Below are 12,483 nucleotides of genomic sequence, written 5' to 3' on the forward strand. Positions count from 1 at the left end.
AATACACATGCTGTCACTTACTCTCTTATCCTCATTGCCTCAGAAGAAGGTGATCATAAAGGAATCTTTAAGAAATCTATACCAATTTATTTGGTGGGAAGCAACAGTGGAAGGCATTTTGATGCTTAATACTATTTTTTTTTAATGTACAGAGCAAAAATCAGCATATTATTCAAGTGCCTTGTATATAATAGTAATAAAACAGTCAGGAGAAAATATTAATTGTGAAAATGTAATTGAAAAATAAACGTTATAAAGTAAACTCAAACTTTCTATATGACAAGAAAATGCAAACTACGAATGTAATTACTTTTACAAATATGAATTGTTTAGCCAATAACAAGTTATTCTTTGGGAGGGAAAAAAATGACATGAGGCCTCTAGGAAGGCTTTGCAGAAAAATAGTGAGTAGATTTTGTAAGTGGGTTGGAGTCAATATCACATATCAAGTTCCTGGATATTTAAAAGTAATAAAAGAATGACGCTTGAATATATGGAAACATGAGATGAGATATTTGTAAAATGATGATATTTAACAGGCCTGAGAACTCCTAGAACTTATAACATATTCTCTGAGAACTGACTGAATGTTTTACTACATACCAGATAATGAATAAGTAAGATTTAACTGCATGAAGTGCAGCAAAGACCTTCACAGAGCCTATCAGTGTTATTGGAACTGACACATAAAGGCAAATGTGTCTCCCACAAAGGATGTGGGAAACCAATTCTTCTAGAAACGATGTAGAAAACACCCTCTAAAATATTGCACTACTAAGGTAAAAAAAAAAGTCTATTCAATTCCCACCATCAGTTTCTATTTATGTACCATTACGCACCACATGACGAGGTTTTGGTCTGCAATGGACGACATATGTAACATGGTCCTATATAATTATAATACTGTATTTTTACTGAAGGTTTTCTATGTTTAGAAATTCTTAGATCCACAAATACTTACCATTGTTTTACAACTGCCTACAGCATTCACTTTGGTAACATGCTGTAAGAGGTTTGTAGCCTAGAACCAATAGGCTATACCACATAGCCCATGTGTGTAGTAGACTATACCTCTAGTATTGTGTAAATACACTGTGTGGTATTTGCGTGACAAAATCACTTAACTATGCCTTTCTCAGAATGTATCTTCAATGTTGAATGATGCATGATTGTTAGTACAACACTGCACTAAGTATTGTAAATATTTTATTATAGAATAATTACCATTAGTACTGATAAATTTTAAAAATGATACATATATGTTTTTGAAAGACCAAAAATAGGTGTATATTTCAAATATATTTTTAAAATACAGAGAGAGAGAAATTACCCCAAATTATCTCAATATAGCCACCAGGTGAAATCTTGGGCAGATTCTATAGATGTTCCAATTACTTAATTCAGTCATTCAATGGATATTTATTGAGAGTCAAGGATAGGCCAGATATATTTCAACAGACTAAAATACAGTCCTATATAATATCTTCAAGTTGTATCAAATTTTCAATATTTCATCAGACTAAAATACAGTCGTATATAATATCTTCAAGTTGTACCAAATTTTTAATATTTCATCAGACTAAAATACAGTTCTATACAATATCTTCAAGTTGTATCAGATTTTCATATGCTCCCCTTCCTAAGACTTGTACCTAAATTAGTATTCTAATGTGTGTCTATTGGTAACTTAGGCAGGATTGGGACCCCATGCCCTTTGCTGCAGGTGCTATCCTGTTACCCCATGGTTATGCTATGTTAACTAGCAAAAAGGACTTTGCAGATGGAATTCAGATTACTAATCAGCTGACTTTAAAATGAGGAAATTGTCCTGACTGAATAAAGTGAGCTCAGTATAATCACATAGGCTCTTAAAATTGGAAAAAGAAGATAGACATGTCAGAGAGATGTGATGTGAGAAGGGATTAGAGGAAGGGGCCATAAACAAACGAATGCAGGTGACCTCTACACACTAAGAAAGACCTTCAGCCAATAGAAAAGAAATGGGCACCTCAGTCCTATAACTACAAGGAACTGACTTCTGCTTGCAACCTTAATGAGCAAGGAAATGAAAATAGATTCTTCCCTGGGCCTCAAGAAGAAAACACAGTCCTACTAACACCATTTCTCTAGCTTTGTGAGATTCTAAGCAGGGACCCAGCCAAGCACACGGGATTTCTGATCTATAAAAACTGTGCAGTGGCATGTGCCTGTAATCCCTGCATATTGGGAGGCCAAAATGGGTGGATCCCTTCAGCCTAGGAGTTTGAGACCAGCCTGGGCAATATGGTGAAACCCCATCTTTACCAAAAAAAATACAAAAATTAGCCACGCATGGTGGTACATGCCTGTAGTCCCAGTTCCTTGGGAGGCTGAGGTGGGAGGATTCCTTAAGCCTGGGAGGTCAAGGCTACAGTGAGCCGATATCGTGCCACTGCACTCCAGGCTGAGCAACAGAGTGAGACCCTGTCTCAGAAACAGCAACAACAACAACAACAACAAGCCTGTGAGGTAATAAAGTTGTGTTGTTTTAAGCCATGAAATTTGTAGTAATTTTTTACAGAAGCAATAGGAAACTGATATAACTATACTTACTACGGTTACCGTTTTTAATTTTCAATCCTCCGCTCTACTTACTACTCATTGTTTCTGACCTTCTGGGTGCAGGTACACTCTGACCAAGATTCTCTTCATAGGAGCTCTCTGACATTCTCTCCCACATTAGGGTTCTGGGTGCCCTCTCAGGCTTCACATGTCCATAGTGTTCCCCCTTCTGAAATGTTTGTATTTATAGGTCACATTAGTTGCTGTCTAGAAAAATGTTCTAAGTTTCAGTGACTTTTCAAAACAAAGTTCATTTCTTAGTTAAGTAATAGTTCAATATTTCTAGTTGATGGTGATTCTCTTCCATGTGATGATTCAGAGGACAAAGTTTCTTAAATCATGTGACTCCACCACGTTCTGGTGGACTTAGACATGTCTACATTCATCCAGAAGAGACAGAAAGATTACCTGGAGAAGGCACCTGTTTCTTAAATGCTGTGGACTTAAAGTGACTTTCATCATTTTTTTTTACATGCCATTTGGAAAAGATGTGACGCAGGTTGAGAAATGAAGACCTTATTTGGGTGGCTGTTTCCTACCAATCATTTTATACCATAAAATGAGAAACACGTTTAGGTGGAAGAAAAAAAAAAAAAAAACAGCCTCTATCTCAAGGTCCCTTAACTGATCCAGTTGGTTCTATTCAGCAGAGCTCATTTGAAGATAGTCATAGTCCAGATTACTTTCACAGAGTTTGAAGTCAGCCCCCAACACATTCTCCTTCCTGCTGCTTTCACTGGGATTGTAACACACTCCATTACTGCCACTTCCCTCTGCTCGGCTTTCAGCAAGGCAGCTATAGTCAAACTTCTGCCTTCAACTTTCTCCTGCTGGGAGCCAGGCACCAGGACATTGGTCCCCCAAATTCCCAAAGTTTGAACTCTTCCCTGTTGTTCTATCAAAGCCTTCCTTGTCATTTGAATTGGGATGATCAAAAAGCACTGATAGACAAAGGACATAAATATATCTTTTGTGGACTCAAAGTGTATCAGAAGCTTTCTAAGTCCCCCAACTCCATACTCTAAAATGCATTTAGGCATAGAAAAGAAAAAGCACATAATCCAAAATTGGTCATTCTCCATGGAATCTTAGAGACGGGAGGAAGGAAATGTCACAGCATTTCAACTACTCTCTCTCAAGTAGCTCTCTCTCTCTCTGTCTCTTTCTCTCTCTCTCATTAGATATTTTTCAGCCTCGATTCACTTCATCCCTCAAGGTAGGTGATGGGTTACTATGTCAGAACCAGTTTAAAAATATCTAAGCTTGCATGGGTGTCCTGAACCACTCTTTATAATGAGAATAAAACATGTCACACTGTCTTTAGCTTTGGGTCCACTGTAGAAATGCAATACACACACACACATGCACAGAAAGTCCTTTTGAATATTCTTTTAAATAGACAAGAAAAAATGTGTATACAATTCATATATATATAGAGAGAGAGAGAGAGAGACAGAGAGCTCTGTGACTAATTTTAAAATGCATTTTAAAATTAGGATCAGATTTTATTATTTTATAATTGGCATTTTATAATTGGCACATAAAATCATGAATATTAATTCATGCCATTAAATATTTTCTAGACACTAAGTTTAAAAAAGCAGTCCTGAAATAAGGATGTCTGCTATTATTGCTTTAATTTAATATTTCTGTTGGCAGTCCTTACCAATACAGTAAGAAAAAAATCATAAAAATTGGAAAGGAAGGAATAATATTATTATAATTTCTATTAATAAGTCTCAGTAGGAAACCTAGGAAAATCCACAGAAGAATCTAGAAAATTAATAAGCATTTCTATAATGGTGCTGGATATTAGATCCATTTAGAAAAATTAATTAAATTCTTATAAACAGAAGATAAAAGTATAAATTTAATTAAAAAACAATTTGCAATAGCAACCAAAATTATAAAGTTCCCACAAATCAACCTAAGAAAAGGTATGCATGGCCTTTTTTGAGAAAATTATAAAACTTCATTAAATATCATTAAACTATGGGCCATGCATTTATGCATGGCCAAATAAACCCTGTTCATTTACAGAATTCTCAATATTTTATAATTTAAATTCTCCCTATATATTCAATGTAATTGTAATTAAAATTGCAACAGATGTCTATATATGTGTTTGAATCTTGAAAATCCGAGTCTAAAATGTATGTGAAAGAGAAATGGCTGATAATAGTCATAATGATTCTTAAAGAGATATTAAGTTGAGAGCTTCTTTTTATCTATCAAAACAAATTGAAATAGTTACAGTAATTGAGATAATGTGTACTAATGCAAGGTTAAAGAAATGAACCAACAGAACAGAAGGACATGCTAGAAACAGACTCACATACATAGGGAAACTTGCACATATGTTTGAAGAGCGTATGCAATAAATGATGCTGGAAAAATTCATCATTCTTATGGAATCAAAGTGTATATCCCTACCATATGTAAGATGTGTAAACCAAGTCCAGGAGAAGTAAACACCTAATTATGTAAAGCAATACTGAAGATTTCAGAGGTCAATACAGAGAGTATCTTTATGGCCTTATAGGAGTGGAAGATTTCCACAAAATACATACACAAACAATCTTTTAAAAATGTTGATAAAATATTCTATATTTAATTTTAAAAATATTTCCGTGAAAAGACAAGTCACAGTTGTCCTTGAATTGATGAAATTGATAAAGAAATTTGTAATACATATGACCAATATAGGAATAGTTTTCAGAGTATATAATTCACTTTCAACGACATTTTAAAAAGTAATAATAAAAATCCCAATAGGAAAATGTGCAAAAGTTATTAAAGAAAATTCATAGTAGAGAAAGCCTGATGAAACATAAGCATATTAAAAGGTGTGAATTTTACTAGTTATCATAGAAATGGCCATCAAAATCACAGTAAGAAACATTTCACGATCTTCAAACTAGCAAAAAATAAAAAGTCTGGAAGTTCTGATACACACGTGGCTGCAGTTGACACGGACCCTTGGCTGGCAACTCAGCTGCAGCTGTCTACTGAGGCACCTACATTTGTATAAATCTTAGAGGAGGCAACAATTATCTTCCACCAGACACTTCCTATTACTTCAAGCCAGTTAGAGCATTAGCTGGGTCATGTCTGGGCTACAATTATAATAAGGTTCAGTCTATCTTCAGATGCATCCCTTGCAACAGATCGTATTTTCCAAAGACGGTTGCAGGTTGCATAAGTTTGCCATCCCTCATTCTATTCTACAATGTGGTCTTGTCACATCCCATCAAGAGGGTGAATCTAAACCCCCTCCCCCTTGAATCTAGGAATGTTTGTGTTGTCTTTCAAAAATAGAATGCACACAGTCAATGCTATGTAACTTCTGACACTGAATCTTAAGAAGCCACACAATTTCTACCTGCTACTCTTGAGTTACTTTCTCAGGGAAATCAGTAACTGCTATGTGAGAATACCGAATATCCTCAGACACTGCACCCGAAGGGTTTCAGGCCGTGTCTAAATTCTCAATTTTCCTGTCGATGGCCCAGCTTGACCTGCAGCTGACAGCTAGTAGTAACTGTAAGCCACATGAGCGAACAATCTAGGCCATCCAGCCCAGAAGAACATTAAGATGACTGCAGCTCCAGCCAACATCCGGCTACAGCAACCTACGAGAAGCCAAATAAGAGCAGCGTAGCTCAGTCCTCCCAGAATTTGGGACCCAGAAAATAAAAGGGAAACTAAACAGGTAAACAAGTTGTTGTTTTACAACACTGTGTTTGAGAGTAATGTGTTATGCAGTAATAGGCAAGAAAGTCTTGTTCCTCTCGTGTGTCCTTTTGGGTTTTTACTTGGGAGCCTGGTATAATCGGTCTCTCCGATTTTAAGGATGACAGACTTCGCACCTCTATCCTGGAGAATTTAACATCTCCCACTCTGATACAGTTTGGATGCGTGTCCCCTCCAAATCTCATGTTGAAATGTGATCCCCAGTGTTGGAGGCGGGGCCTAGTGGGAGGTGTTTGGGTCATGGGTGTGGATCCTTCATGAATGGCTTGGTGCTGTCCTCATGACAATGAGTTCTCACCATACATCTTTTTCTTTTTTTGAGTGTGTAACATCTCCCCAGGTCCCCTTGCTCCTGCTCTCCCATGTGCGTGCCTGCTCCCTTTGCCTTGCACCATGATGAGACCTCACCAGAATCAGATGCTGGAGCTATGCTGGCACAGCCTGCAGAATCATGAGCCAATTAAACCTCTTTTCTTTATAAAATTCCCTAGCCTCAGGTATTTCTTTACAGCAGTGCAAGAAAGGCCTAACACACACCCCATCCAGCTTCAAGAATCAGAAAAATGCTACACCTGGTCTGGTCAACATCAGTTACTCTCATAAAGGAAATTAAACCATGTTGATGGATGGATGAACCAAAAGGAAAAGAGATCAATGACACAGATTAATTTGCTTCTGAAGAATATTTTTCATTGTGTATAATATGCTGTGGAATATGAGTATAGCAGGTTCTGGAATGAGCTTGTGTTAGCTCAATGCTGAAACACAGATGACTCTGTCTAATAATCAAAGCTGTAAATTTTGGGCATAATAAGTAGAAATAGTTGAATGTGAGTTTTGACTTTTAAAAGTAAACTTATATAATACCACTAATATCAATATTTAGCTTAAAAAGTTATGCATGTGGCCAGGCACGGTGGGTTATGCCTGTAATCCCAGCACTTTGGGAGGCCGAGGCGGGTGGATCACATGGTCAGGATATCGAGACCATCCTGGGTAACATAGTGAAACCCCGTCTCTACTAAAAAAAAAAAAAAAAAAATACAAAAATTAGCTGGGCATGGTGGCACATGCCTGTAATCCTAGCTACTCGGGAGGCTGAGGCAGGAGAATCACTTGAACCCGGGAGGCGGAGGTTGCAGTGAGCTGAGATTGTGTCACTGCACACCAGCCTGGTGACAAAGCTAGACGCCATCTCAAAAAATTAAAAAAAAAAAAAGTTATGCATGTGATGACTCTTCGTAATCCCTTCAATAAGATTTTTTTTTTTTTTGGACATTTAAAATATACCATGATCACATATCTGCAAATCCTGCAACAATGTTCCTGGACTTTGTGATTGAGTGACAGTTTCCTACACCAGGTGACACCACTACCAAACGCCACCGCAACCCCTAACTCCAACTAGCAATCTCAAGATGTAAGACATCTGTCACAATTGCCGATTCTGCTTGTGACTTTCTGGGAAAGAGATTCAATCAATAGTGAAATCCCTTTGGAATGGAGGCTCTTTTTTTTTCTTTTCTTTAAATCAGGAACTGAGTTGAGTTTCTGGTATTATCTGGGAATATTTAGTAAACACATTTATCTTATTTTGTTTTAATTTTACCAACTTCTTGGGAATCCTAGTAAAAAATCTTACATGATAAGTTTTTATTGTTCATTCTGAATGTGAAGCTGATATTTTTACCTGCAAAAATCCAAAAAGTGACAGAAGATTTGTTTGGTAAAATAAACTGTAGTAACAGTGGAGATTGAAATCCAGTGGTCAGGTTGAGGTGCTACAAACTGCTTTTTAAAAAATCATTCTCGTGTCATTTGGTAAGCGCAGGAATACACATCTTTAAGCTATATAGATATTAAGAAATAAAGAATGTGTCTTATTTTTAAAAAAATGTAAAAATACATAAATAGTAGTAGTATAATGAGAAACTATATAGACACGCAAACTTGAAAAATCTTCTATTAATTTACATGATTACTGTAGCATAATCCCAAATTAAACTCACTTTTTCTGGATGACTGACTTGGGTAAAATAATTCATATATGAACAATGTGGGTAAAAAGAAAAAAGTCTCCAGTTTACACTATAAATAGAGTGATTTTATCAAAGCAAATATTAGGAATTTATCCTTGGCTTTTTAAAACAAAAAGATACTAAAATACTTGAGAATCCTAATTTGATAATACTGAATAATGCCACAGTTTATCCTGGCAGAGTAGGACATTTTAAAAAGCTATAAAATTCACTATATACTCGGCCGAGCATGGTGGCTCACACCTGTAATCCCAGCACTTTGGGAGCCGAGGCAGGTGGATCACTTGAGGTCAGGAGTTCAAGACCAGCCTGGCCAACATGGTGAAACCCCATGTCTACTAAAAAATACAAAAGAATTAGCTGGGCATGGTGATGGGTGCCTGTAATCCCAGCTACTTTGGGAGGCTGAGGCAGGAGAATTGCTTGAACCCGGGAGGCAGAGGTTGCAGTGAGCTGAGATTGCACCATTGCACTCCAGCCTGGGTGACGACAGCAAAACTCTGCCTCAAAAAAAAAAAAAAAAAAAAAAGTTCACTATACACTCATAGACTCAACCCTCGCTACATCATTGAGTAGGTTAAGATATAAACAATAAAAATAAGAGATGGTTTTGTCTAAGCTATATTACAATAATTTGTACCACTATAATATTTTTGTTATATATGGTAATCAGTTGTGTGATTATCATATTATTGTGCCTCCTTTTGAAAGTATTCATCTAGAGACTTCAATACATTTAACATTTAAAAGATTAATCAGACCAGGCACAGTGGCTCATGCCTTAATCCCAGCACTTTGGGAGGCCAAGACTGGTGGATCACCTAAGGTCAGGAGTTCAAGACCAGCCTGGCTAACATGGTGAAACCTCATCTCTACTAAAAATACAAAATTAGCCAGACCTGGTGGTGCACACCTGTAGTCCCAGGTACTTGGGAGGCTGAGGCAGGAGAATCACTTGAACCTGGGAGACAGAGGTTGCAGTGAGCTGAGATCATGCCGCTGCACTCCAGCCTGGGTGACAAAGCAAGACTCTGTCTCAAAAATAAATAAATAAATAAATAAATAACATAAAAGATTAGTCAATCTTAGAATTAATTTTAAATACATAAATAACTATAATTTGTTTTATTTGTCTATTATATAGATGATATATAAATAGTTAGAGGAACATTGATTTTATAAAGATCCCTAAAAAGAAATCTTCTTTAGTCTGTTTTGCATTCCATGCTAGAAATGTCAAAAGGGAATTAGAAACTGACTTTATGATTTTATTTTTGGTGTTCACATATATTAAATGAAAACTAAAATTATTTTATTAGGTCATGTTTCCTCATTCATATTAATTCTTTTCACTAACATATACGTACCTTAAAGTTACACAAGATTTTTGACTAAGGCTTGGATGAAAAAAAAAAAAAATTAGGGTGTTTCACAATAAAAATATCAAGAATGATTAAGGTGATTAGGGTGATGATGTTGACCATATTTGTTGAGTGATTGTCTTAGTTCATTTTCTATTGCTTATACAGAATATCTGAAGCCAGGCAATTTATTAAGAAAAGGTATTTATTTCTTTCAGTTAGGGAAGCTGAAAAGTCCAAGAGTTGAGGAGCTGAATCTGGTGAGAACCTTCCTGCTGGTGGGGACTCTCTGCAGAGTCCTGATGCAGTGCAGAACATCACATGGGTGAGGGGCTGAGTGTGCTAACTTAGGTGTCTGTTTCTCTTCTTATAAAGCCATCAGTCCCACTCCCCTGATAACTCATTAATCTATTAACCAAATAATCCATTAATCCATTCATGAAGGCAGGGCCCCTGTGACCCAATCATCTCTCAATGGCCTCACCTCTCATCACTACCACATTGAGGACTGTCAGTTTCAACGTGAGTTTTGAAGGCCAAAAACATTCAAACAAAAGCAGTTCTTGACTTGAGTAGGCCAGGTATGCTTTGTTTGACTGATGCAGTGTGACTCCTCTCTTCCATATTAACATCCTCTATGGGCTGCTGCTGTTGAGATGAAGTGGCTTTCTTATACTGCACAGCAGGTGATGCCTTTCTTTTACTGCACAGCAGGTGATGCCTCACTTAAGCGAATCAAATGGCATGACAGTTGTCTTAGTCCGTTTAGGCTACTCTAACAAAATACCATATTGTGTGGCTGATAAACAACATAAATATTTTCTCACAGTTCTGGAGGTTAGAAAATGCAAACTGAGGTGCCAGTGGATTTCATGTCCAAGGAAAGCCTCCTTCCTAGCTATCTCCTCTCTGTAACCTCACATGGCAGAAGGGGCAAGGAAGCTCTCTCAGCCTCTGCCCTCATGACTTTTCACCTCTCAAAGACCCCACTTTCTAATACCATCACCTTGAAAATTTAGATTTTAAATTATAAATTTTGGGAGCACACATTCAGACCATAGCAAAGGTTATAGTCTATAACCGATAGCTTTTTAAATGGTACACATGCCATCTTAATCATATTAATAAAAGCAATGTACTTGTATGAAGTAATAATATTGGGGCAAAAGTTGTTATATTAAAACACAAAATGCAAAGGGGTTTTACAGGGTTAAATACTAATGATTAACATCACACATATATATGATTTTATATCACATATGCATGATTAAAGAAGACCAGTGGTTAGTAGAAAAAGATAGAGGTCAGTGCCTGTATTTTTTGTGCTTAACATGAGTGTGAGCATTAGATCTTTCTCCACACAAGGACCTTTCCCTTGAGATTTTACAACTTTTATAAAATAATTGGATGGTTCAAAGGGGCAAAATGGAGTTTAGACAGAGGGATTCAGAACAGATTCACTCCCTAAGCCATGTGCCTTCCAAGCAGAATGTCAGAATAATTTATTTTAATACTCAAATATCCCCTGGTAAAATATTTTAAAAAGAAATTTATTTTTAAAACTTTAATTGACAGGTTATCTGGTCAAGATTGAAAATGAACTATTTAGAACATATATTGGTAACTATATATTGAATCATTTTATGGTTATCCTTATTTTCTAAGAATACTATATTAAATATTATTGAGAAAATGCAAGTAAAGTAATAAATAATTGACATTTCTACTTTGAACATAGTTCCATTTAAGTAAACTTGACTTTCTTAGATTGAAAAAAAAGTGAATATGGACTCATACTCAGTCTTGCTAAGATTTCAAGTGTTACAGAAAAAACAAAAGATGTGGTTGAAGTGAAATTAAGAAATTGGCATAATCGGCTTGGGGACACTTTCTATAGTCTCTTGAATATAAAAGAAAAGGGCAAGCTGAGTAGGAATGGCAGGCGCTGGCGGAGAGCTCTTAACTGCTCCTCATCTGCTTAAAATGTGGGTCATTATTAAACAGACAATATTAATCAGTGAAAAAAATGATGTCTTAGCCAAATTAGTTACCAAAGTACCAGAAGTTCTAGCTGTTGGAGCCCAAGAGAACAGATAACAAAAGTGACCTCTTGCTAAATATTGGAAAACCTCACTAGGTATTGGAGGCCCAGACAAGCTCTAATCATCCTTTCTCTCTGCATTGCACATTTCAGATATAGCCAAGTCTGGGGAAGAATGTAGCTTCTTCAGAAGGAGAAGAAAGTAAAAGACAAAATGAAGAGGGGAGAATAAAGGCTCATATGGAAATTGCTCATATAAACCACTTCTATCACCACAATCTAATTTTAGAACCTTGCCATCACCCCTGAAAGGAAGTAGTACCTCGTAGCATCCCCATTCTCAAGCCCCAGGCTTCTGTTATACTTTCTGTCTGTATAAATGTGCCTATTCTGGACATTTCCTATAAATGAAATGGCAGGATATGCATTTCTGTGCGTGAGACGGGCTTCCTTTACTGAGCACAGTGTTGTTCAGACTCATGATGCTGTGGCATGTGTCAGTACTACACAACTGTGTAAAGATGACTCTGTAAATGTATTAAAAGCCATTGAATTGTACACCTTAAATGGGTAATTGCTTGGTATGTAAGTTATATTTCACAAAGCTCTTTAAAAAATGGAGAACCTCACAGGGAAGTGTTCATGTCCACTCAGAGACAACCAGAGGGGCTCTGGCTTCCTCATCTAA

The 12,483-nt window shown here is 36.6% G+C and overlaps 1 annotated feature.

Annotated features, from left to right (window-relative positions):
• Window positions 10,039-10,725: an enhancer, noted in NCBI's record as "OCT4-NANOG hESC enhancer chr4:180630948-180631634 (GRCh37/hg19 assembly coordinates)". NCBI's record gives its function as "activates a minimal SCP1, AML or CMV promoter by ChIP-STARR-seq in naive and primed H9 embryonic stem cells {active_cell/tissue: H9 hESC(naive and primed)}" and the evidence as "EXISTENCE:reporter gene assay evidence [ECO:0000049][PMID:30033119]".

Source organism: Homo sapiens, chromosome 4 (assembly GCF_000001405.40).
Source record: "Homo sapiens chromosome 4, GRCh38.p14 Primary Assembly".
In the NCBI taxonomy this organism is placed as follows: Eukaryota; Metazoa; Chordata; class Mammalia; order Primates; family Hominidae; genus Homo; species Homo sapiens.